The sequence below is a fragment of the Homo sapiens genome, chromosome 4 (assembly GCF_000001405.40).
Source record: "Homo sapiens chromosome 4, GRCh38.p14 Primary Assembly".
Taxonomy (NCBI): domain Eukaryota; kingdom Metazoa; phylum Chordata; class Mammalia; order Primates; family Hominidae; genus Homo; species Homo sapiens.
Genome location: NC_000004.12, coordinates 15,956,569 through 15,982,002, shown reverse-complemented (window position 1 = coordinate 15,982,002; position 25,434 = coordinate 15,956,569). Strand labels below are relative to the sequence as shown.

The 25,434-nt window shown below is 44.0% G+C and overlaps 2 protein-coding genes across 40 annotated transcripts in view, besides 3 other annotated features; both read left to right on the top strand.

Annotated features, from left to right (window-relative positions):
* Nucleotides 1-13,775, top strand: part of PROM1 (prominin 1) — a 115,796-nt gene extending 102,021 nt beyond the window's left edge. For 23 of the 39 annotated variants that reach the window (NR_199807.1, NM_001441179.1, NM_001441174.1 and 20 more), the window contains 5 exons: nt 1,466-1,581; nt 2,099-2,122; nt 2,540-2,608; nt 10,921-10,960; nt 12,635-13,775. Coding sequence is in view for 37 of the 39 variants with exons in the window: in NM_001441179.1 (NP_001428108.1) it covers nt 1,466-1,581; nt 2,099-2,122; nt 2,540-2,608; nt 10,921-10,936 (225 nt within the window). In the remaining 2 variants the exon portion in view is untranslated. Of the gene's footprint in view, nt 1-1,465; nt 1,582-1,701; nt 1,727-1,837; nt 2,078-2,098; nt 2,123-2,539; nt 2,609-10,920; nt 10,961-12,634 lie in introns of those variants that run through there. The other 16 variants (XM_005248195.6, XM_011513900.3, XM_047416378.1 and 13 more) reach the window with 4 other exon arrangements.
* Nucleotides 337-929: an enhancer, noted in NCBI's record as "H3K4me1 hESC enhancer chr4:15982697-15983289 (GRCh37/hg19 assembly coordinates)". NCBI's record gives its function as "activates a minimal SCP1, AML or CMV promoter by ChIP-STARR-seq in primed H9 embryonic stem cells {active_cell/tissue: H9 hESC(primed)}" and the evidence as "EXISTENCE:reporter gene assay evidence [ECO:0000049][PMID:30033119]".
* Nucleotides 930-1,523: an enhancer, noted in NCBI's record as "NANOG-H3K4me1 hESC enhancer chr4:15982103-15982696 (GRCh37/hg19 assembly coordinates)". NCBI's record gives its function as "activates a minimal SCP1, AML or CMV promoter by ChIP-STARR-seq in primed H9 embryonic stem cells {active_cell/tissue: H9 hESC(primed)}" and the evidence as "EXISTENCE:reporter gene assay evidence [ECO:0000049][PMID:30033119]".
* Nucleotides 17,957-18,798: an enhancer, noted in NCBI's record as "H3K4me1 hESC enhancer chr4:15964828-15965669 (GRCh37/hg19 assembly coordinates)". NCBI's record gives its function as "activates a minimal SCP1, AML or CMV promoter by ChIP-STARR-seq in naive H9 embryonic stem cells {active_cell/tissue: H9 hESC(naive)}" and the evidence as "EXISTENCE:reporter gene assay evidence [ECO:0000049][PMID:30033119]".
* Nucleotides 18,828-21,758, top strand: FGFBP2 (fibroblast growth factor binding protein 2). The gene is made up of 2 exons (NM_031950.4): nt 18,828-19,565; nt 21,392-21,758. Exon 1 carries the CDS (start codon nt 18,874-18,876, stop codon nt 19,543-19,545), a length of 672 nt encoding a protein of 223 aa, NP_114156.1. The 5' UTR covers nt 18,828-18,873; the 3' UTR covers nt 19,546-19,565; nt 21,392-21,758.
* The last annotated feature ends 3,676 nt before the right edge of the window (nt 21,759-25,434 follow it).

Genomic DNA, 25,434 nt, shown 5'->3' with positions numbered 1-25,434 from the left:
TGCAGATGTGAGTGGTGTAGACTGTGTCACCACTGAGGACAAATGTCCCCTTGAAGGAAGAACCACTTCCAGACTCTTGCTTTGTGGGAATAAGGGTTCAATGTTAAGAGATGGAACTTTAGAATTTTCAAGAAAGGATGTAAATCCAGGTTTACATGTGAAATCTGACTTAAAAATGTTGGCAACTATTTAAAAAAGGATACTTTAACATTGCTCTTTAGACAAAACATGGTCATCTACCTTCTATATACCTTCAAGATTGGTTAAATTAAACGTGAAACATTGATTGAGACCCTAGCATGCAGTGAACATTGTTTCTAACTTCTTGACACAGTAATGTCATGGAATGAAGATGCAAGCATCTCAGCTGCTCAGATGCAGAACAAAGCCAGAAGGGTTAATTTGTCATCTTTTTTTTTTTTCTTTTTTTTGAGATAGAGTCTCGTTCTGTTGCCCAGGCTGGAGTGCAGTGGTGCAATCTCGGTTCACTGCAACCTCCGCCTCCTGGGTTCACGTGATTCTCCTGCCTCAGCCTCCCGAGTAGCTGGGATTACAGGCACACACCACCATGCCTGGCTAATTTTTTGTCTATTTTTAGTAGAGACGGGGTTTCACTACGTTGGCCAGAATGGTCTCGACCTCCTAACCTCGTGATCCGCCTGCCTCGGCCTCCCAAAGTGCTGAGATTACAGGAATGAGCCACCGCACCTGGCTAATTTGTCATCTTAATAACAAACAACTCAGCCAGGCGCGGTGGCTCACGCCTGTAATCTCAGCACTTTGGGAGGCCGAGGTGGGCAGATAATGAGGTCAGGGGATCCAGACCATCCTGGCTAACCCGGTGAAACCCCGTCTCTACTAAAAATACAAAAAATCAGCCAGGCGTGGTGGCGGACGCCTGTAGCCCCAGCTACTCAGGAGGCTGAGGCAGGAGAATGGCATGAACCCAGGAGGCGGAGCTTGCAGTGAGCCGAGATCGCACCACTGCACTCTAGCCTGGGCGACAGAGTGAGATTCTGTCTAAAATAATAAATAAATAAATAAATAAATAAATAACAACTCATAAGAGGGACTGAAACTCAAACCTGCTGGCCATCCATGCTCTGATTACTGGATGGTCGGGCAACAAAGGGAATCTGTTTGGGGTGGTTAGAAGTTGGGTTGGAGTGGCCTAGATTCGCATCCTGGCTTTACCACTTGCTGTTTCTGCTCCTCGTTTGTAAAATAAACATAATAATAGGATCTACTCAAGGTTTTTAGAAAGATGAAATGAATCCTAACAATGTGCGTAGCACTTCACACAGTGCCTGGTCCACATGACATTCTCAAATTGTTTTAAAGAACAAAATGACAACTCATTTTTAAAAATTCCAAAAAAAAAAAAAAAAAAAAAAAATCCCCCAAACAACTGTTTTTCCCATTTCTTATCTTCAAACATTTAATTCTTCTGATTTTTTTTTCCTAGAATTTGTTTTGGTTTGGCATAGGAAAAGCTACTGTATTTTTACTTCCGGCTCTAATTTTTGCGGTAAAACTGGCTAAGTACTATCGTCGAATGGATTCGGAGGACGTGTACGATGAGTAAGTATGTGGGCTTCCACAGACGTGGGGGTCATTTTCTAGGTGGTGCTGTCTTCAAAGAGTTGCTAAAGATGAGTTCTGATGAGGTTAAAGTTGATTTCTTTTTTTTTTTTTTTTTAGTAGTAGTTGGGTCACTTCTGTTCAGGTGAATTTTTTTTTCTTGGTACTGATTTTTCTATACTTGTTTTAACTACTTTTTTCCTCTTGCTTAATCCTCTCAGCTTCCCTAACCAGCCTTTTTATTTCTTGTTTGCAGTTCCTCTCTCTCGGGGACCTGGCATTTCACTTTATGATAACTGTTTTTACACTTTCCATTTTGGCTCTGTAGTCTGCCCCTCATTCTGTGTCTGGTGAATGTGTATGCCTTGTTTTTCACTTCACTTATCTTTCAACATGGGTCTTTCCTGAGTTTGCACTGTCAGTATCCGTGTTAGAGTAAATATTTGGGGGATGTAGTTGCTGAGCTTTCATAATAATTAAAAAAATTAATTTTATCTCCCTTTTTTGTATTTTATAGTGTTGAAACTATACCCATGAAAAAGTAAGCCTTTTTAAAAAAACTATATTCCTAGATGGGATGGGGGAGGTTGATATTATTATGTAATGGACTTTAAAAATTAAGTTATTAACATCTTAAAATTATGTAGAAACAGCAGATCTGTACAGGCAAAAATAAATTGCAATGGTCTTAAAAAGAGGGTTGGCACATAGAGGGTGCTCAAGAAATACTTGATGAATTAATGAAATTTTATATGTTAAGTTTATTAATCTATAAAGTAGTCCTTTGGTCTTTGAAGTTTAAAAGGAGCAAAATGTCAATTACTCATTTGTCTTTTTTTTAGATTTAACAAATTGTTACATACTTTTCATGACCATTACATTGTCTTTGTAATCCATGATGTAAATACTTCATCTTAGAGATAACATGGTGTTTTTGGTGTATTTATTTCTGTTACAGTATGGAAAATGGTAATAATGGTTATCATAAAGATCATGTATATGGTATTCACAATCCTGTTATGACAAGGTAAAGCAAAGTCTGGAAGTGCATGCCCGCCCTATGATAAACCGTCTCATCTCCTATAGATCAGCACTGAATTTTCTGCATGCTGCTGATGCCTTCACTTCTCTCTGTATGATACTTTATCAATGCTAGTCTCCAATCATGCTCTACATAGTGTTCCATGATGCCATGAGTTTAAATGTTCAGTCGATTTCTAAACAATGGAATTATTCAGCAACTAAAATTTGGTGTCATCTTAAAATGCTATGTATGGCTGTAGATCATTACAGATTAAATGCATGCATACCTTGCATTTAGAATTTCTCTGCACCAAATAACCTGAGTAGTTACAGTTTTCAAAGCTTTTCCTTCCTTCCTTCTTTCTTTCCTTCCTTCCTTCCTTCCTTCTTTCCTTCCTTCCTTCCTTTTTTCCTTCCTTCCAATAAATTAACTGTAACCAACCAGAAAAAGAACCTCAATTATTCCTCCGAAATCTTTATGAATTTACATTCTCTAGAATTAAGGAGCTTCTGTGGTTCTGGATATATCATATGTCAGGTAACTCTGAGCTTTGCTTGCCAGAGGTCGGTCCTCTTCTGAGGCTCTACTAAGAATTCAGACCCACACGTCAGCCAGGGACCTATCTGCTTATAAGAGGTGGAGACATAGTGTGCAGGGCAGCAGGGCAGCAGTGGGCTGTCCTCTTCAGTGGGCGTGATCCTTCCCACGCCCATACAGCTGGCCCGCCAGTGCTCCCCCGAGCCCGCTCCCCACAGTGATGTCTCAGATGCAAAAGGGTGAGTCTAACGTTGGTGCATGGGGGAGATCCACCTTAGAAGGCCCACGCTCCACATGGGAGGCATCCAGTTAAAAGTGCCCACATTCAGGTAAGCCCACAGCTTTGGCTTCACACCAGGTATTTATATTTAGAGCCTCCCAGGCCAGAAGCTGCTTACCAGTCAGGCACATCCTTATCTTAAGCAATATTACCTAGTAACAGTTGATGCTCCACCTTGGTCAGATTTCAAGATGAACAGAACCAGAAAGTCATTAAAATTTGTCCTTTCAAGAGGTAAATGGCTTCCTGAACTTAAAACTTTGAACATTGTAAAAAAATCAGAACTTTTCATTATGATTTTCCATTTAGGGGAAGAGAAGTTAACTGAGTGCATTCCAGCTGCTATAATGAAATGCCTTAAACTGGGTAGCTTATAAACATCAGGGTTTATTTCTCACAGTTCTGGAGGCTGGAATACAAGATCAAGGTGCCATCAGATTCGGTGTCCGGTGAAGGACCACTTTCTCATAGGTGGCGTTGTCTTGCCAAATCCTCACATGGTGGAAAGGGCAAGCTGGCTCCTTGGGGTCTATTCTCTAAGGGCGTTAATGAGAGACTAATGAGGGCTTTGCCTTCATGACCTAAAGCGTCACCGTGATTATGACGTCAATGTATGAATTTTAAGAGTGCACAAACATTCAGATCAGAGAAGAAATGGTGATAATTAAAAAAATCAAGTTCTTGGCCAAGCGCGGTGGCTCATGCCTGTAATCCCAGCACATTGGGAAGCCGAGGCGGGTGGATCACGAGGTCAGGAGATCAAGACCATCCTGGCTAACACGGTGAAACCTTGTCTCTACTAAAAATACAAAAAATTAGCCAGGTATGGTGGCACACGCCTGTAGTCCCTGCTACTTGGGAGGCTGAGGCAGGAGAATCACTTGAACCCGGGAGGCAGAGGTTGCAGTGAGCTGAGATCGTGCCACTGCATTCCAGCCTGGGTGACAGAGGGAGACTCTGTCTCTAAATAAATAAATAAAGTCATGAAATGGCAAATTGACTTCATCTCATCTGATACTTCCAGTATGCAAGGCTTGGTGGCTAGAGTGCTGTGTTGTGACAGAGTTGAAGATCGATTTAAGTATCAATTAGCCAGGTGTGCTCTGGGGAGAGTAGACAGTACGGCTGCCTGCATAATGTCCTGGCCTTCCTTTTTGCGGTGTAGCATGCTTGGAGGGTGTCTTATATATATGGACTGAAATTTTCAAGATCAGAGGACAGCTGTTCTCAATTACCTATGTTGCCCTAACATCGGATCTTCTAGGACTGCTTTGAATTTGTAGAATTGCTTCCTGGTGTTTGCCTGTTGGTTGTGAAGGCACTGAAAGTACTCTCTGTTCTAAGAAGAGTCATCCAGGCTGCCTGGAAGATGCTAGAGAGAGAGATGCAAGCCTGGGTGGAGGCTGCCACAGGCAGGCTTTCTGGAAGCAGTGCTCAAATGGAGTTTGGAGTGCAGGATGTTTATGAGGAGCCATGGTTGTGAAAAAAAGGGGGAGAAGTCAAGGTTGGCCTGCCAAAGCCTTGGCCCGACTAGGCAGGAGCTCTGGATCAAGCATGGCCTGTAGGGAGTTGCCCACACTGGGCTAATCATTACAGATTAGCTAAGTCTTTGCACCCCCTCCTCCCCCAGTCACTGCTCCCAGGGCTGGAGCAGCACTGCCATAGAGCTGTAGGCTCTGCTGTCAGAGTGGTAGGCTCTGACAGCTGGAGGCTCTCTGCTGACCATGCTGCCCCCAGCTGGAGGCAAGTCATTCCTAAAAGGGAATCTAGAAGGCACAACTCCACGGCTCCCTGAGAAGCAGATGCACTGGTAGGCCTGGAAGAATGTGCTGCATCCAATAAGTCCTCCTGCAATTGAAAGGGAGGTGTCAGTGTGCAAGTTGACAAGACAGCCTTTGAGATGCCAGGGTCCTCTCAGCACACCAGTACTGCCACAGACCTTTGTCACTTAGGCATGATCATCACAGCCAACTGGACTCTGGCTAATCCCCAGCTTCAGATCTGAGTGCTGGAAATAGGCAGGCGTCAGCTGTCTTCTGTCTTATGCCACCACGTGAGACCTTTCCCACAAAGGAGGGTAGACTTCCAGTTCTAGCATCTAGAAGAGAATAACCGAGCACCTATTAGTGCCACAGATGTCCTGCGTGTAGCGTCAAAGACTTAATTCTCTAGGCTCAAGAAGGTTGTCGTAGCTCTCCTTATTTACTAGTTTTTACTCACATTGCTGGAACAGCATAAGACTTGATAACTCTTGGATTTAACTTGCTGTACAAGAAAAAAGGCATGATGATGGAAAACAGGAAAATGTTAGAAAACAGCCCTAGTCGGTGTTGAGAAATGCCACTCTTCTCACTTGCTAATGAACATTTCATCTTGGGCTTTTAGTGTTGAAATTCGAACTAGATTAAATGCCATTGTTCTATTAAATACATAAATGAAGCTTTAGGATGATTCTGTGGTCATTCTGCTTACGACAGACATTGGAAGGACTTGTCTTTGTTAAGGGCCTAGCACTTCATACACCTGTGAAGCCTGGGGCTAGGGATATACTAATGTTGGACGTCCTTCCTTAACGGTCCACAGCACACTTGAATTTTTTTCTACTTTCTATATTCTGTGTTCTATAGTAGAACTCCAAGGGTGGGTTGAAGTGTTTTGTTTCAGTAAGAGAAGAATCCCAAAGACTGAGTGACACCTTATGTGAGTTTCGCTGAAGCATCTTTCATGGTAACAATTAAATCGAGACTTGTTTTCATTCCTGCACACCCACCTCCAGTGGGAACCCTGGCAAGTCTCCTGGATGTTCAGCCCGTCTACAGGCAGTCAGTGAAGAATCATAGTTTTGATTTGGTTTATTTGCAGAAGGTTAGGAAATGACATCCCAGAAACTCTAGGGACATTGGGACACCTTTCTTTTCCACCCAGACCCTCCTAGAGGTCCCAGGGGTCTGAGTTGGAGTGGATTCTAGCTCTGCCTCCATGTGTCATTGTGGAAGTGCTATTTAATGTCCTTGAGACTCAGTTTTCTCACTTGTAGAAGGAGGGAATAATAAGAGCTTTGAGGCTGGGTGTGGTGGCTCACGCCTGTAATCCCAGCACTTTGGGAGGCCAAGGCAGGCAAATCACAAGGTCAGGAGTTTGAGACCAGCCTGGCCAACATGGTGAAACCTCATCTCTACTAAAAATACAAAAAATTAGCTGGGCGTAGTGGCGGGCACCTGTAATCCCAGCTACTTGGGAGGCTGAGGCAGGAGAATCGCTTGAACCCGGGAGGCGGAGGTTGCAGTGAGCTGAGATTGCACCACCGCACTCCATCCAGGACGACAGAGTGAGACTCCGTCTCAATAAATAAATAAAAATAAGAGCCTTGTTTGCGTAGGGTTGTGAGGGTTCAATGAGGTAACAAGGCAAAACATTCACCCTTTGACCACTGTAAACCCTTACTTAAGGGTTTGTGGTTCACTATAATGACCATAATCTTTTCTTATTACCTTAACATTTCCAATGGAAGGAACCCAAAGGTGATTCAGAAGATAACTAAGTGTGGCTCTAATCTGTTAGCTGAGCCAGCTCCACTTAGCTTCCATTGATGACACCAACTGGGCTCTGGATATTAGCCGACACCTCATGATACCTTCTGTACAAATGAGCCCGAATTGGTGCCTCCTTCACACAGCTTGAGACTGTGATTTCCCCCAGTGTTTATCGCCAACAGTTTTCAGGTGTTGCCTGCATTTCAGGACAAAGCTAGGTTTAGGAGGAAAATGATCAGTGCAAAGAGAAGGTGCTAGGCTATTCTAGAAAAGACTCTGGCTGATGCGGTGGCTCACGCCTTTAATCCCAGCACCTTGGGAGGCTGAGGACAGAGGATCACTTGAGCCCAGGAGTTCAAAACCAGCCTGGGCAACACAACAAGACCCTGTGTTTATAAATGAAAAAAAAAATTATTTAATGTAAGAACAAAAGAAAAGCCTTCTGCAAACCAGGACACTAGTACTTACCAAGTGAGGAGCAGTTTGACAACTAATATTGCTTCATGGAGCGTTTCCCAGGAGAATTCTCTTAAATAAGAACCATGAAGTGGGCTGCTTCTGAGTGGCAAACTCAGTTTCATAAACTAGTTTTTTTTGGTCTCTTTTTCTTTTATTTCTATTTATTTCTTAAACACACACACGCACACTGTAATTAGTCCATTATACAGTCTGTGGCTGTTTGCTTTTGTTTGAAGGAAAAGTTAATAGACTTTCATATAAACCTACGTAAGCCTGGATTTTTTTTTTCCAACGATGCTTCTGTCTCCCACAGTCTGCGGAGCAAGTGGAGGCATTTTCATTTCAGGAAATATTGGGTGACTTGTTTCTGAATCTTCTTCCTGGCCTTTCATGGATCACTAGAGGTCACTCGGATTGTGATCTTTCAGCTGCTAGGGAGTTCTTTAGAGAGAGAGAGAGAGAGAGAGAGAAAGAGAGAGAGTGTGTGTGTCTGTGTGTGTGTGTCTGTATGTGTGTGTGTAAACTTACTCTTTCTAGCTCTGAGATGAGAGATCAGGAGAGAAAGTTGCTTCCTGTGAGACCACAAAGGCTTGAGAGCAAACAAACACCAGTGTTGGTCCAGCAGCCCCAGGAACCGGGCAGGATGACCACCCTGCCTCATCCTGCGCAGTCCCCACATCGGCCCTCTATGGCTGTCGTCACCGCCTTGTTGTCTGTCTTTTGCAGATAGACTCAGGGACGTGTAGGCCATGCCCAGGTCTCTACAGCTAGCCAGGGCCAAGCTATGATTTGAGCTATTTCTCCTATTCTCCCAAAGGCAGGTGGGCAAAGAAAAGTTCCCAAAACGGGTGGAAAGACCACAGAAAAATTTGATTATTTTTCCCAGTCTTCACTCTGAAGACTATCAAATTGGCAGAAAGGGGAACAAATAAGAGGCAAGTGTTGCTAGAAACTCTATCTGAAAAGGACAGAAATCTGATTTTCATATGAAATTACCCTTTTTAATGTTAGCAAACAATGTGGAGAAAAAAACACCATGGGGGCCCAACAAAATATGTCTGTGAACCACCTTCTTGCTAGTTCGGCTGTAGATGGTGTTCATTGTGCATGCTCTGTAGATTCTTTGCTGTTGTTGTTGTTTGAGACACAGATTCCACTCTGTCACACAGGCTGGAATGCAGTGGTGTGATCTCAGCTCACTGCAACCTCCACCTCCTGGGTTCAAGCGATTCTTGTGCTTCAGCCTCCTGAGTAGCTGGGATTACAGGCACACACCACCGTGCTCAGCTAATTTTTCTGTTATTAGTAGAGATGGAGTTTCACTATATTGGCCAGGCTGGTCTTGAACTCCTGACGTCAAGTGATCTACCCAAATTGCTAGATTACAGGCATGAGCCACTGCGCTTGGCCAGATTCTTAGATAGAAGTAGGAGGGGTCCGCATGGCTGCACCTCTGCAGCCTAGAGGAGGAAGCAGGTGGATCCCGGGGAATGCTACATAAACAGCAGCTGACCCTCACCTGTGTAGGTTCTGGCTGCATAGGTCTTGTAGAGGGTGCTTGGAGCCCCTTCCCTTGTGTGATGTTTCAGGTTCTTCGGGGGCCAGGACCTTCCTTTTTCTGTGAAGGGGATAGTGCATCATTGACAAACAGATTCCACCTCCTGGGCCAACTTCTCTCTGTTGTCCGGCTGCTCAGAGCCCTGTTGTGTTGTGTTGATTGAAATCTGGAGGTTTAATCCAGACTGACTCAAAAGTACTGTCATCAGTGTGTGATGTCTACTCTGGAGACAGGAGAGTCTCAGATGTCATGTATTGGCCTTCTTTATTTTATTGCTTTATTGTGTTGGGCACCCAGGAAGTTATCATTCAGAGCCCAAATCCTAATGGCCTGAAGAAATGTATCCTCCAGTTATGGTCTCACCTAAGGCCCTTTGTTTCTCTTACATCAGGAGCTTCCAGGATTAGTTTTAGTTACTTGCTATAGTTTCAGTGTCCCCTCCAAAACTCATGTTGAGATTTAATTGCCATTGTGACTATATTAACAGGCGAGACCTTGGACAGGTGGTTAAGTCATGAGAGTTCTGCCTTCATAAATGGATTAATGCCATTATCATGGGAGTGGGCTCCTGATAAAAGGAGGAAGCTCGACCCCATTCCCTGTCTGTCTCTTGCACTCATTTGCCCTTCCATTATGGGATGATGCGTCATGAAAGCCCTCACCAGATGCCAGCACCAGGTTCTTGGACTTCGTGGCCTTCAGAACTGTGAAAAACATATTTTTTTCTTTGTAAGTTACCCAGTCTCTGATATTCTGTTATAGCAGCAGAAAACATACTAAGACACTGCTTAAATTGGCTTGTTTTGCTCATTTCCTGCTTCTGAGGTCTCCAGAGTTCCCTCTCTTCCAGGATAGGATGGATATACTGTCTGGAGGAGAGGCAATGCTAGGCAGGAGGAGAAGAACCAGTGATCCTGTTAGTGTGCCCAGCATCCCTCTGCTCAATAAGGCAAATGTAGATGTTCTTTGGAAATGATTGCCAGAGCCTACAGTCCTTCATAATGTTCAGCTCCAGGTCCTGGTGAGGTGGACAGTAACAAGAGATTGAGCCAGCCCCTGCTTGCACCCTTTTCCAGGGGCCCTTTGAGCCCTTTCGATAAAGAGTTTGTTTCTTTACCGAAAGCATAAAAGGTAGTGCAAGAAGAGGCACACAGAACCAAGCATGTGCACTTTCTAAAGTGAAAAACTTTAGAAGGAATGTCTTGCCTGGCAGATGCCCTGATGTCCTCCGTGCATGTCCTCCCCCAACCTCATGTGTCTGATGCAGCACTGCAGTGAGGCACGGTGGATCCTGCAGGTTCAGAGGGGTTGTGATCCACCTGAAGTCACAGTCGGGCAGGGTGTGCCAGAGTTGAAACTGCCGACCTTCCAGATGGAGTTCACTAGTCTCCCCCTGGCGTATACCTTTTTGGTTGTCAAGGCCATTATCACAGAGTCACTTTAGAGGACACTAGGGCTACTGTTGATGGTTCACCCAGAGAGCCACTTAGAGGCCGTGTGCACTGCCTGATCTTACACCCAGGAATTTGTAGTTGTAACAAGGTCCCTGCGGAACTTCCATTTGCTTCTGTCTTCTGTCCTAGAAGTGGACTTTAGAAAGACTCTTGTGGTAGACATGTGTACTGCTGTGTTGCTGCTGGTCTAATGTCTTCAACACGTATTCTTAGTGACTCTTAACACTTTTAACCTTAGATTGTGAATATTCACAATTCTTACTTGTCATAGTCTGTTTATCCTCTTTATCTTCTATGCTGTTTTTAAAAGCAATACAAACAGAAGCTAGAGTAACCAGTGTTTTGTCTGACACATTCTTCTTGATAAACTTTATGAGGTGTGGTTTATATTCGTCTGTACCTTTAGTCACATGCCTGCTTCTTAGCACAGAGGTGATGAAACCACCCACAGCTTTGTTGGGGGTATTATATTTCTTTATTTTTTTGTTTTTTAGCCCATCACAACATTGATAGCTGATGTTGAAACTGCTTGAGGTAAGTTTGATGCTTTCATTGAAGAGAATCTACAGGACTATAGTTTTTAGTTTTTAGAACATCAAAACATAGCTATTCCTAATACATTGCCACATTAAGTGGGAAATCTAGATCAGCATATTAGACAAGATATTTTATATGTCCAGTCCACCCTCTGTACCTGCAGGTTCCACATCCACCGATTGATTCAACCAACTGTGGATCAAAAATACTCTAAAAAAATTTTTTTTTAAATAACAGTACAAAAATAAAAATAATAAAAACAATACAGTATAACAGCTACTTACATAACACTTACATTGTATTAGGTATTTTGAGTGATCTAGAGATGATATACAGTATGTAGGAGGATGTGTGTAGCGGTCCTGGAACCAATCCCACATGGATCCAGAGGGACGACTGCATGTATACATACGATACAGTGACCCTCTCTGTATATATATGCATTGCTATATAAATGTGTGTGTATTTATATATATATATACACACACACAGTGAGTATGTGGGTGTATATTAAAAAAATAAAATTTTTTTACTTAAAAAGATAAGATTTTTTAAGTAAAAAAATAAGGGCTGGTGCGGTGGCTCACGCCTGTAATCCCAGCACTATGGGAGGCCGAGGCGGGCAGATCACTTGAGGTCAGGAGCTCAAAACCAGCCTGGCCAACATGGTGAAACCCTGTCTCTACTAAAAAAAGTTAGCCGGGTGTGGTGGGGGGCCCCTGTAATCCTGCCTGTAATCTCAGCTACTCAGGAGGCCAAGGCAGGAGAATCGCTTCAACCTGGGAGGCAGAGGTTGCAGTGAGCCGAGATCACACCACTGCACTCCAGCGTGGGCAACAGAGTGAGACTCCATCACAAAAAAAAAAAAAAAGAAAAGAAAAGAAAGTGTTTTTTTAGAGTAAAACAATAAGCCAGGCATGGTGGTACCTGCCTGTAGTCCCAGCTACTGGGGTGGGAGGCTGTGGTAGAAGGATTGCTTGAGCCCAGGAGTTCAAAGATGCAGTGAACCATGATTATACCTGTGAATAGCCAACACACTCATGCACTCCAACTTGGAAAATGTAGTGAAACCCTATCTCTAAACAAACAAACAAACAAACAAAAATATAGAAATCTGTGTACCAACCACGTACCTTGAGTATTATGGACTTAAAATTTTTTCTGGCTGGGCATGGTAGCTCATGCCTGTAATCCCAGCACTTTGGGAAGCTGAGGTGGGCAGATCACTTGGGGTTAGGAGTTCGAGACCAGCCTGGCCAACATGGAGAAACCCCATCTCTACTAAAAAATATAAAAATTAGCCAGGCATGGTGGCAGGTGCCTGTAGTCCCAGCTACTTGGGAGGCTGAGGCTTAAACCCGGGAGACGGAGGTTGCAGTGAGCTGAGATCGCGCCATTGCACTCCAGCCTGGGCGACAGAGTGAGACTCCCTCTCAAAAAAATAAATAAATAAAATAAGATAAATAAACAAAAACCACAAAGTTTTTTTCTATATTGCTATATTTTAACAGATTGCTTTGCAACAAACATATTGCTGTGCCTCTTGAACGAGTTTATATTTTCCTTAGTTCTTAGGCTCCTGGTGGGGACCATTTTAGGATTATGCATTCCTGGTTTTCTCTTTATTAATTCAAAAGCAATTTCTAAAATTGTGTTTAACTTTCATTTCAGCATCAGGATACTCAAAGTGGAAAGGATCACAGATTTTTGGTAGTTTCTGGGTCTACAAGGACTTTCCAAATCCAGGAGCAACGCCAGTGGCAACGTAGTGACTCAGGCGGGCACCAAGGCAACGGCACCATTGGTCTCTGGGTAGTGCTTTAAGAATGAACACAATCACGTTATAGTCCATGGTCCATCACTATTCAAGGATGACTCCCTCCCTTCCTGTCTATTTTTGTTTTTTACTTTTTTACACTGAGTTTCTATTTAGACACTACAACATATGGGGTGTTTGTTCCCATTGGATGCATTTCTATCAAAACTCTATCAAATGTGATGGCTAGATTCTAACATATTGCCATGTGTGGAGTGTGCTGAACACACACCAGTTTACAGGAAAGATGCATTTTGTGTACAGTAAACGGTGTATATACCTTTTGTTACCACAGAGTTTTTTAAACAAATGAGTATTATAGGACTTTCTTCTAAATGAGCTAAATAAGTCACCATTGACTTCTTGGTGCTGTTGAAAATAATCCATTTTCACTAAAAGTGTGTGAAACCTACAGCATATTCTTCACGCAGAGATTTTCATCTATTATACTTTATCAAAGATTGGCCATGTTCCACTTGGAAATGGCATGCAAAAGCAATCATAGAGAAACCTGCGTAACTCCATCTGACAAATTCAAAAGAGAGAGAGAGATCTTGAGAGAGAAATGCTGTTCGTTCAAAAGTGGAGTTGTTTTAACAGATGCCAATTACGGTGTACAGTTTAACAGAGTTTTCTGTTGCATTACGATAAACATTAATTGGAGTGCAGCTAACATGAGTATCATCAGACTAGTATCAAGTGTTCTAAAATGAAATATGAGAAGATCCTGTCACAATTCTTAGATCTGGTGTCCAGCATGGATGAAACCTTTGAGTTTGGTCCCTAAATTTGCATGAAAGCACAAGGTAAATATTCATTTGCTTCAGGAGTTTCATGTTGGATCTGTCATTATCAAAAGTGATCAGCAATGAAGAACTGGTCGGACAAAATTTAACGTTGATGTAATGAAATTCCAGATGTAGGCATTCCCCCCAGGTCTTTTCATGTGCAGATTGCAGTTCTGATTCATTTGAATAAAAAGGAACTTGGAAAACATGGTCTGTATGTTACTTCCTTGAGTAGATCCAGCGACTCACAACTTAGATGATGAAATTTGAGCATGTGTTATTTGTGAATTCCATTAATTATTATTAAAGGGCCCATTATACAGAAGTAATTCAAGGTCAAGGTCAAAGTGGGCTATATTTTAGATCTTCTTCAGATCTGAAGTCATCATTTCTTAGGGAACTGTCCAGGTCACAATATATACAATTGGATACCAACTATAGGCAAACTCTACTTTGCCTGATGTAATCCTAAACATACACCAGTAAAAATGAATTTTTTTAAAACAACACACAAGAGGCTTGCAATTTAAACAAGACTATATAGTGTATAATTCTTCTGGAGGAAATTATCTCTTAACTTCCCATTTTTTGAAAACCTGATTTTTGTATCACCCATTTAAATATTAATTCAAGTTATTCAAGCCAACTTAATACTCCTAGTGTCACTCTTGCAACTTTTATTTATTTATTTTTCAGTATCTCAAGCCTAAAGTTCTTATCTTTGCTAAAAAAAAAAAAAAAAAAATCAGCCTGGCCGGGCGCAGTGGCTCACGCCTGTAATCCCAACACTTTGGGAGGCCGAGGTGGGTGGATCATGAGGTCAGGAGATCGGGACCATCCTGGCCAACATGGTGAAACCCCATCTCTACTAAAAATACAAAAATTAGCTGGGTGTGGTGGTGGGCACCTGTAGTCCCAGCTACTCGGGAAGCTGAGGCAGGAGAATCGCTTGAACCTGGAAGGCAGAGGTTGCAGTGGGCTGAGATCGCACCACTGCACTCCAGCCTGCTGAGAGAGCGAGACTCTGTCTCAAAAAAGAAAAAAAAATCAGCCTTTCCTCAACCCCATTGCACACTCAGCCTGGTAGTACAAGATGTTTTCTTTTTTCCCTCTCTCTTTGGAAATAATTTCCTTGAAAGAACTCTCGACACATCTCTGTCCACTTTCTCATTTCCATTGGTTCTTCAACTCCTGTGACCTGCCTTCTGTCCCCACCACTCCTGAAGGGCTATTGTCGGGGTCACCGAGGACTTGACTTTTGTGAACACATCCCCTTTACAAAGATCTCCCTTCAGGCTCCCAAAAGAGCCCTCTCCAGTGTCCTCTTGGGGCATGGCTGTCTATTCCTCAGTCTCCTTCCAACACTCATCTCTCCAGTTCTTAAATTTAGGTGGCATTCGCAGGTTCTCTCCTGGTGTGCCCCTCACTCTCTCCTTGGGTAATTTCATTCACTCATCACCTCACCTGCTCCCTTTGGTTCTCTCATCACATAGAGCTCCAGCCAACCCTGTGTTCATGACATGTCTCCACCCAGATGCACCTTAAACCAGAGGTTGGCAACCTTTCTCTGAAAAGGGTCAGACAGTGAATATATTTTGCTTTCTGGGCCATGTGGCCTATGTCTCCTCAACTCTGTTGCAGCACAAAAGTAGCCATAGGCAATACGTAAGTGAATAGATATTGCCGTGTTCTTCAAAAATTACAAAAGCAGGCCACATGGGCCACAGTTTGTGGCCCCTGCCTTAAACCACTGTCCTGACCTGCACATCGCCACAGGTTCTCCCCACCATGTTCCCTTTCTTGAATTTCTCCACCTTCACCCTATCACTGGAGCTGGAGGAACTCTTAAGTCTGCTTTCCCCCTCCCTTCCATCTACCTTTGGTCACAAAGCCTTCCTCTCCATCCCCACTGATGAGATCCTCTTACAGTTTTCATAATGTCTCTTGGCTAGCGAGGCATTCCCCTCTTTCTTTTAGGCTTCCAGCCCCCTGAGTTTTGGCTAGACATAGGCTACCTGGTGGGGACTATATTTCCCAGCCTCCCTTGCAGCTAGATGTGGCTGAGTGACTAGGCTTAGGCCAGCAGTAAGTAAGTGAAGTGTCTACTAAGACAAAACTGCAGATCCTGGACTTGTTCCACTGGAAATGGCAGCAATCAAACAAACCTTGGAAGGCATGTGTTAAATTTGAAGAACTTCCAGGCATGAACCTGGAAGACTGGTTCATAATAGAGAAGGTCTTTTTGTTACAGCAACTCAGCCCATACAGAGCCAGCTTGCCCACTACCCTCCCTGTACAAAGTCCCCCTGTCCACCAATCCTTTCTCAACACAGCAGTCTCTTACAGTGCAAATCTGATCATGACACTCCACACTTAAAAGATGAACAAGCAAATAAGAAAGAAGAGAAATTGGGCTGAGCATGGTGGCTCACACCTGTAATCCCAGCACTTTGGGAGGCCAAGGCAGGTGGATAATCCGAGGTCAGGAGTTCAAGACCAGCCTGACCAATATGGTGAAACCTTGTCTCTACTAAAAATACAAAAATTAGCCAGATGTGGTGGCATGTGCCTATAGTCCCAGCTACTCGGGAGGCTGAGACAGGAGAATTGCTTGAACCCAGGAGGCGGAGGTTGCAGTGAGCCAAGTTCACGCCATTGCACTCCAGCCTGGGTGACAGAGCAAAACTCCGTCTCAAAAAAAAAGAGAGAAATCACTGCCTTCAAGAGGATTAAAGCAGGATGAAGTGATAGAGGAACAGAAGAGCTCTTTTACATTGTATAGCGAGGGAAGGCCTCTGTGAAGGTGGCAGGGAGAAGGCAGCCATGCGATGTTCAAGGAAAAGATTTTCAGGCAGTGGGCACTAGTGCAAAGGTCTTGAGGTTTGGCTTGTCCCAAAAGCGAAAAGAGGAAGAGCGTGATTAGAGCTCTTATGATAAGTTCCCATTGCAGGGTAAACTCAGCCTCACTAGGGCATTGAAAAGGGCTGGCCATAACCTCAGGGTGTCTAGATGGGTCTAGCAAGCTGTTCCCTGCAACACTGTGGTGGGTGGGGGAAAGGAGGTTGGAGCTGAACACCTGCCTTCCTGTGGCCACGACATGGAGCCTGGGTTGGAGTGCTGTTTACTCCAGGGGCTCCTGAGTTGGAAGCACACAAAGGGCAAGCCTCTGTCTTAGAACTGGCCCTGTGGATTGGTACGGGGGCTGCGGACCCCACCCTAAGTCACCTCTCCAGCCTGATTCTCACCACTGCCTCCTTGCCCTTGACATTTCAGCAGTCCATAAACCTGCACTCCAGGATCACTCCTTTACAGGAAGCATTATCCTGCCTTAAGAATCTGCCCTTGGCCAGGCGCAGTGGCTCGTGCCTGTAATCTCAGCACTTAGGGAGGCTGAAGTGGGCGGATCACTTGTTAGGAGTTTGAGGCCAGCCTGGCCAACGTCGTGAAACCCCATCTCTACTAAAAACACAAAAATTAGCCTGGCATGGTGGTAGGCGCCTGTAATCCCAACTACTCAGGTGGCTGAGGCAGGACAATTGCTTGAACCTGGGAGGTGGAGGTTGCAGTGAGCCAAGATTGTGCCACTGCACTCCAGCCTGGGTGGCAAAGTAAGACTGTGTGAAAAAAAAAAAAAACCTACCTTTAGCTGGTTGTGGTGGTTCACATCTGTAATTCCAGTGACTCCAGAGGACAAGGAAGCAGGAGGATTGCTTGAGGCCTGGAGTGTGAGATCGGCCTGGACAACAGAGTGAGACCCTGTCCCTAAAAATTTTAAATTTAAAATTTAGCTGGGTGTGGCAGCCCATGCCTGTAGTCCCAGTTACTTGAGAGGCTGAGGCAGGAGAAGTAATTGAGCCCAGGAGTTGGAGGCTACAGTGAGCTATAATTACACCAGTGCAATCCGGTCTAGGTGACAGAATGAGGCCAAAACAAACAAACAAACAAACAAACAAAAAAAACACCTGCCCTTTACCCTTTCTCAACCTGACAAATTGACTGACTTGTCTTGAAGGTTTGGCACCACTTCTTGGAAGCTTCCTCTGCTCCCCACCTGGGGTGATGCCCTCTTCTGGAAGGCTCTCACTGCTACACACACAGTGGCTGCCGAAGCTCAGCCTGGCTTTAGTTCCAGCCCTACTAGGTCTTCTCAGGACTCAGGATATCCAGGTGGAAGGAAGGCTGTGCCAGGTACCAACTACCCTACGTGGGATCGCCAAGATAAATCCCTCACATTCAAACTAGTCCCCCAACATCCGTCAACCCTATTCCTAACAGCAAATTGCCACCTTTAGTCCACTCCACAGTGCCCTCTGGAAGGGTCATCAAAAGACAGTTATGACCATACCAAACTATGATTCTTGACACAGAATCAAAAGTTATTTTCAATTTATTTTTTTTCTATTGTAGAACAATAATAATAATATTTAAAATCATATTTTCCTGTGATATAATTAAAACTGTGTTATTTCAATTGAATTTGAAATAGAATTCATGGTCTAAAATAGACTGAATCCCACTGTGAACATATATTTGCATGCCTTCCTCGTCATCATTCAGTTGGTGCAATTGTAAGGCATGCAATAACAAGGGAAGTGAACATTGCAGCACTGTGGCCTGTGGCCACGGTGATGGCGGGACAGCCCCACAGAGGCCACACCAGGTGACTCTCAGCTCGGTGGGTGGGAGGGGGAGTGTCTCTGTGTCCCTCTGGCACACACATCCTCACACAACCTCACATAGTCTTTTTTGCATTTGCTAGGCCATCTCATAACACTTAGGCTCATAAAATTCTGGCTTCCTTTGGATTAACTAAACCCATGGTCCCCCAAGATGGGGATTCCAGGGAGCAGGAGGGAGCCTCGAGGCAGCCCAGACTCCCAGCTGCAAACCTCACTTTCCAGAATACCACTGCCACACCTTGGCATATACCAAATGTTGACAAAGAAGGCTGTTCCCGTACAAGGGCCAATTTTAGAGCAAGCACCCTGTGGTTGGAAAACTGTAAAACCCTCAGCCCCAAAGCTGTGTGTGGCGCTTTGTGCGTGACAGGGCTGGGGCAGATCTCTCTGAGGCACTCAGGAAAACCATTCCCTTTGCTTGTGGTGGGCGGCCCCTGGTGGCTGCTCTGCCCTTGCCAAGTGTTACGTGTCTAAGGTCTGTGGGCATGTTTCTCATTTGCTGCAAAACATCCTCCCCACCCTTGCAGAGAAAGAGTCTTTTGTGCAGCACCCTTTAAAGGGTGACTCGTCCCACTTGTGTTCTCTCTCCTGGTGCAGAGTTGCAAGCAAGTTTATCGGAGTATCGCCATGAAGTTCGTCCCCTGCCTCCTGCTGGTGACCTTGTCCTGCCTGGGGACTTTGGGTCAGGCCCCGAGGCAAAAGCAAGGAAGCACTGGGGAGGAATTCCATTTCCAGACTGGAGGGAGAGATTCCTGCACTATGCGTCCCAGCAGCTTGGGGCAAGGTGCTGGAGAAGTCTGGCTTCGTGTCGACTGCCGCAACACAGACCAGACCTACTGGTGTGAGTACAGGGGGCAGCCCAGCATGTGCCAGGCTTTCGCTGCTGACCCCAAACCTTACTGGAATCAAGCCCTGCAGGAGCTGAGGCGCCTTCACCATGCGTGCCAGGGGGCCCCGGTGCTTAGGCCATCCGTGTGCAGGGAGGCTGGACCCCAGGCCCATATGCAGCAGGTGACTTCCAGCCTCAAGGGCAGCCCAGAGCCCAACCAGCAGCCTGAGGCTGGGACGCCATCTCTGAGGCCCAAGGCCACAGTGAAACTCACAGAAGCAACACAGCTGGGAAAGGACTCGATGGAAGAGCTGGGAAAAGCCAAACCCACCACCCGACCCACAGCCAAACCTACCCAGCCTGGACCCAGGCCCGGAGGGAATGAGGAAGCAAAGAAGAAGGCCTGGGAACATTGTTGGAAACCCTTCCAGGCCCTGTGCGCCTTTCTCATCAGCTTCTTCCGAGGGTGACAGGTGAAAGACCCCTACAGGTAATACCCTTTCCTTTACTCATATACAGAGACTACGTGTATATACTTATATACAGAGACTACGTGAGAGGCACTTAGCACTTTCACAGCTGCTGCGACCACATCAGAGTCTCAGCGTGTGTTTGGGGGTGGGTTTGAGGCTGTCTGTTGCAGAGCAGTGTAGATGAGGTAGTTCATCCGGAGTGGCACTTGACCCTGGAGTTGCATAGGAATCACCTACAAGGAGCTCTAAAAATGCTGATGCCCAGGCCCCTCGCCAGACCGTTCCATCTATGTCTCCAACATAGTAGCGCAGGAATGTGGACTTTTAAAACTCTCCCCCAAGTGATTTGAATGTGCAGCCAAGGTTGAGAATCTCCTTGTGATGGAACCACCTCACTGTTAGACCGAGGCCTTTGGAATTCTGCCGGGTAACGTTTCCTAATGAACCAAGCATTTGCTGCAGCTGTTAGTGGCCGAGGTGCTATGTCATGGTGGAGGTGTCGCCACACCCCGTCTTGTTCTCAGTTTTTTCTCCTACAGTCAAGTTAGGGTGGGGAGTGTTGTGCACTGAGGAAAGTTTGAGTCAAATAGTCTTTAAAGTCTTTCTCACAGCTCTCAAAGCCTTTAATTGTTTTTTGTTCATCACAGAGGAGAAAATCTAATTAATAATAACAGATTTAATCAACTCCAAGTATTGCTTTTAAAAGACCAAACTTTTTCTTGTGGAAATAAGGCTTATTACTGATCTCTATCCTTAAATGTAGCAGCTTTCATTAATTTTGCACACCAGTAAGGAGTTCATTTACATGGGATTCTAGTCTTACTTGTGCACTTTGAGTTTAAAAGGAGAGTTTCTGAGTTTTTTTCATATTATCTATGTAAGAAAAATAGGAACAAAGCAGATTTCCTGATAAACAGCACTTTGATAACGAATACCACCAAACAAATAAGGCTTTTTCTACAAGCGCCCAGGCAGCAAGAAATGTTGGTTCACAACAAAGTTGTTTTGGTGTCTGCTGTTCTGGGCTGGAGGTTTTCTGCTTGTTTAAGATTTCAGATCTGTCCCAGAGGAGAAAAGGGGACACTTAAGCCAAAAAAAGTTACTATTGAGAGGAGGTCCTTTTTTTTTTCTTTTTAAAGTGATTTTTTTGGTCTTTCTACAAATAAGACATACAAATCATTTGAAAAATTCAAACACAACAGAAAAATACAAAGAATTTTAAAACTTCATCCATAATCCCACCACACAGAGATAAACAATGTTAACAGAAGAGTACCCATTTAGACATCCATCCATGCGTATTTACACAGACAGATGTACAGCGTATATACAGATGCATACAGGCGCTAAAGCTCAAAACAATATCTTGATCCTGCAGATAAGCTGCATAGGACTACTGTATTAGCTTGCTGGGGCTGCCATAGCAAAATACCACAGAATGGGTGGCTTAAACAGCAGAAATATATTTTCTCACAATTCTGGAGACTGAAATTCCAAGATCAAGGTGTCAGCAGGATTGGTGTCTTCTGAGGACTCTCTCCTTGACTCATAGATGGCAGCCTTCTCTCTGTCATTCCTCTGCGTGGGTCTGTGTCCTCATCTCTTTTTGTTAGGATACCATTCACACTGGATGAAGTCCCACCCAAACAGCCCCATTTTACCTTAACCACCTCTTTAATGGCCCCTATCTTTAAATACAAACGCTCCCTGAGGTACTGGAGGTTAGGACTTAAGTCTACGGTTTTTAGGTTTTGGGAGGGACACAATTCACACAATTCAACCCATAACAACAAAGAAAGAATTTTTCATCCCTTCCTTTTTTTTTCTTTTTTTTTTTTTTTAGATCTGACCTCTCCCTGACAGACAACCATCTCTTTTTATATTATGCCGCTTTCAATCCAACGTTCTCACACTGGAAGAAGAGAGTTTCTAATCAGATGCAACGGCCCAAATTCTTGATCTGCAGCTTCTCTGAAGTTTGGAAAAGAAACCTTCCTTTCTGGAGTTTGCAGAGTTCAGCAATATGATAGGGAACAGGTGCTGATGGGCCCAAGAGTGACAAGCATACACAACTACTTATTATCTGTAGAAGTTTTGCTTTGTTGATCTGAGCCTTCTATGAAAGTTTAAATATGTAACGCATTCATGAATTTCCAGTGTTCAGTAAATAGCAGCTATGTGTGTGCAAAATAAAAGAATGATTTCAGAAATACGACTTTAGTCTTCTTAATGAACGTGATACCTAGATGCTATAGGGATCATGTATACCCATGAAGTCACTATTATTTTATTCAGGGTGCCATCGTGCATTACACAGACTAGGTGGCTTAAAGCAACAGAAATGTGTTCTCTCACAGTGATGGAGGCAAGAAGTGCCTCAAGATGTCACCAAAGTTAGTTTCTCCTGGAGGGTCTCAGGGAAAATCTGTTCAATGCCTCTCTGTCAGTTTCTTAAAGTTGCTGGAATCCTTGACATTCCTTGGCTTATAGACATATCACTCTAATCCCTGCCTCTGTCTTCACATGGAATTTTCCCTTGCGTGTGTGTCAAATTTCCCTCTCCTGATAAGGGCACCAGCCATTGGATTAGGGTCCATCCTAATCAAGAAAGACCTTATCTTAACTCCATCATGTCTGCAAACACCCTATTCCCAAATAAGATCATATTCACAGATTCCAAATGGACATAAATTTTTGGTGGGCACTATTCAACCCAGCACAGCCACCATGCAGCAATAGCAACTAGCCAAAAAGATAGAGAAGTGAACCTGAAAAAGAACAACCCTGTACACTCAGCAATTAAATTAATCAACAGAGTTGGAAAGGAAGAAAATTAGATTTTATTAGACATACGCGAAAAGTGACTCACTTCTTAATTTCGTATTTGTCTTACCTAAGAACACATTAATAGTCTACTCTCTCTCTTTTTTTTCTAATGGCTATTTATTTATTCGAGATGGGTCTCGCTCTGTCACCCAGGCTGGAGTGCAGTGGTGCAATCTCGGCTCACTGCAACCTCCGCCTCCTGGGTTCAAGCGATTCTCCTGCCTTAGCCTCCCGAGTAGCCGGGATTACAGGCATGTGCCACCATGCCCAGCTAATTTTTGTATTTTTAGTAGAGACAAGGTTTCACCATGTTGGCCAGGCTGGTCTTGAACTCCTGACCTCAGGTGATCCGCCCGCCTCGGCCTCCCAAAGTGCTGGGATTACAGGCGTGAGCCACTGTACCTGGCCCACTAGTCCACTCTTGATGTACTTAAATTGTTTCCCCAACTAGCCCAGCAGTGCCCAACCCTAGCTACATAATGGAGTCACCTGGGGCAACTTTTCAAAAACACTGGTGCTTGGACGTCAGCACCAGAGGTTACGGTGTAACTGGCCAGGGATGGGGCCTGAGCATGTGCAATTTTACATTTCCCCTGGTGACTCTAATATGCAGCCAAGTTTGAGAAACACCGCCCTTAATTAATTGAATTAGAATCTCTGGGGTGTATCCTAAGTAATTTCCAGGCAATTCTATGTGTAACCTGAGTTGAAGACTACTAATATGGCCTCTATATGTAGTTCACACAATTAAGAAATATTTATTCATCATCAACTATGTCCCAGGCACTGTGCAACACATTGGCTAGGGGAGACATGAACTAACCAACTAGGTTTCACATCTTAGAAGTGCAGTGAAGTAGTGGAAACCAAGACAACACATTGATGAGTGTTGGAGATGACACAGAAGGCGGTGGGTGGGGGCAGCCAGGGGACGTTTGCTGGGGTTGAGTTTCTAAAATATATATACATCAAGCATCTACTGTGACATACCAAGTCTATTTCTTATAAGGGCTCTGAGCCTTTCACTCACCCCCTCATATAGCTCTCACTACATCCCTAGGAGGTAAGTAGTTTTATTCCCAATTATAAACCAAGGGACTTGAAAGTCTGGAGAGGTGAGTTGTACACAGCTTGTTAAGAGTCAGGACAGCAGAGAAATCCAGGTTCACCCAATTCTAATGCTCATGGCGTTCAATTTGTAAACATCACAGGATAGGCTGGGATTTGTCACAGACCATTTTTCACCAACATTTTAAACTAACATCACCATATAGCTGACCAGTGATTTTAAAGATGAAAATCTGTGCTACCCAAAGGGTGACAGGTGGGGCAGAGGCATCTGCTTCTGCTGGGGAGCTTTAGAAATGCTAATTCTTGGCCGGGGACGGTGGCTCATGCCTGTAATCCCAGCACTTTGAGAGGCCGAGGAGGGCAGATGACCTTAGGCCAAGAGTTTGAGACAAACCTGGCCAACATGGCGAAACCCTATCTCTACTAAAAAATACAAAAAATAGCTGGGCGTGGTGGTAGGTGCCTGTAATCCCAGCTACTCAGGAGGCTGAGGCAGGAAAATCACTTGAACTAGGGAGGCGGAGGTTGCAATGAGCCAAAATCATGCCCCTGCACTCCAGCCTGAGCGACAGAACAGGACTCCATCTCAAAAAAAATGCTAATTCTCAGGCCCCACCACAGACAAACTGAACCAGAGTATCTGGGGTGAGGCCCAGAAATGTGTATTTTAACATTTCCATGTGTTTTATGCAGAGTAACATTGGCCAAGCAATATTTCAGTCATCCTAAAAGGAAAGGCTTTGTTAAACCTTAAAGCAGATAATTCTGACATAGGCTACAATATGGACGAACCATGAGTACATTATGCCAGATAAAATAAGCCAGTCACAAAGGACAAATACTGCATGATTCCACTGATATGAAGTACCTAGACTAGTCAAAAATCACAGATACCAAAAGTAGAATGTTGGCTGCCAGAGACTATGGTGAGGTGAGAATGGGAAGTTAGTTTAATGTTTACAGAGTTTTAGTTTTATAAGATTAAAAGAGTTCTTGAAGTGGACAGCAGTGATGGTTGCATAACAAATGTAATTAATACTACCAAATTATACACTTAAAATTGTTAAGATGGCATATTTTATGATATACGTATTTTATTTGAATTTTATAAAGAAATTTTAAAAAAGAAAAGGAAATTCTTTTCACCAAAAGGTGCTGAAATAACAGCATATCCATGAGAAAAATATGAATATCTACTATTACTTGATACAAAAAAATGAACTGAAATTTGTTTATACACTGAAATGTAAAGGGTGGTTTCTCCCTAATACTGGGGGTGCTCCTTTCCTTCGACAGTGACATAATCTATTTGTTCTAATTCAGTAACTGCTACATCCATCTTTATTAATCAAGTACTCACCCACACCCAGGCCTTCCTCATTGATGGGTCACCAATCATGAGGGCTGGGAACAGTAGTAGAACTCAGCCACTGAAAGAGTTCATTACAGTTCACAAATTCTAGCAATTAATCATATGATCTTCCATATTCAATAAGCCAAACCAGGGAGTGGTAGAAGCAACAGATTGGAGTCACCCTCTTTGTGTTGTCACTGATGGTGTCAAATAATGATGAAACCAGTGAAGATTCCCAGGTGGTAGGGTCAATTTAAAAAAAGAAAAAGAGCAGCGGTTGAGAGATTTTATGGTGAAATCATAGACATAGAGAACCGATCTCCCTGAATCCCTGCCTCTTCTGTCCTGATTTTCTCCAATCACCTCCTCCAAGGGGAATGTTTCCTCTGAGGATCAGCTGCATGTAATGCTCACATTGTCTGCTAAAGATGTGTAGGACACAGTGCCGATAACATCATTTGTCTAGTAATTTTCTCAGTCACATCTTCCAAAGTCTATCTTACCACTTAAAAATGACGCCAACCTGAGACCAAGGACATGAAATGTGCATTGAATGTTTTGTCCATTAGCCCACTACTGGGGGCACCATTGCTGTGAACAGTACGGCATCGTCTAATTACAAGTGAACCGGATAC

Bases quoted from the DNA above. Each gene is read 5' to 3' on its own strand.
- FGFBP2 (NM_031950.4), top strand. From the start codon at position 18,874: ATGAAGTTCGTCCCCTGCCTCCTGCTGGTGACCTTGTCCTGCCTGGGG.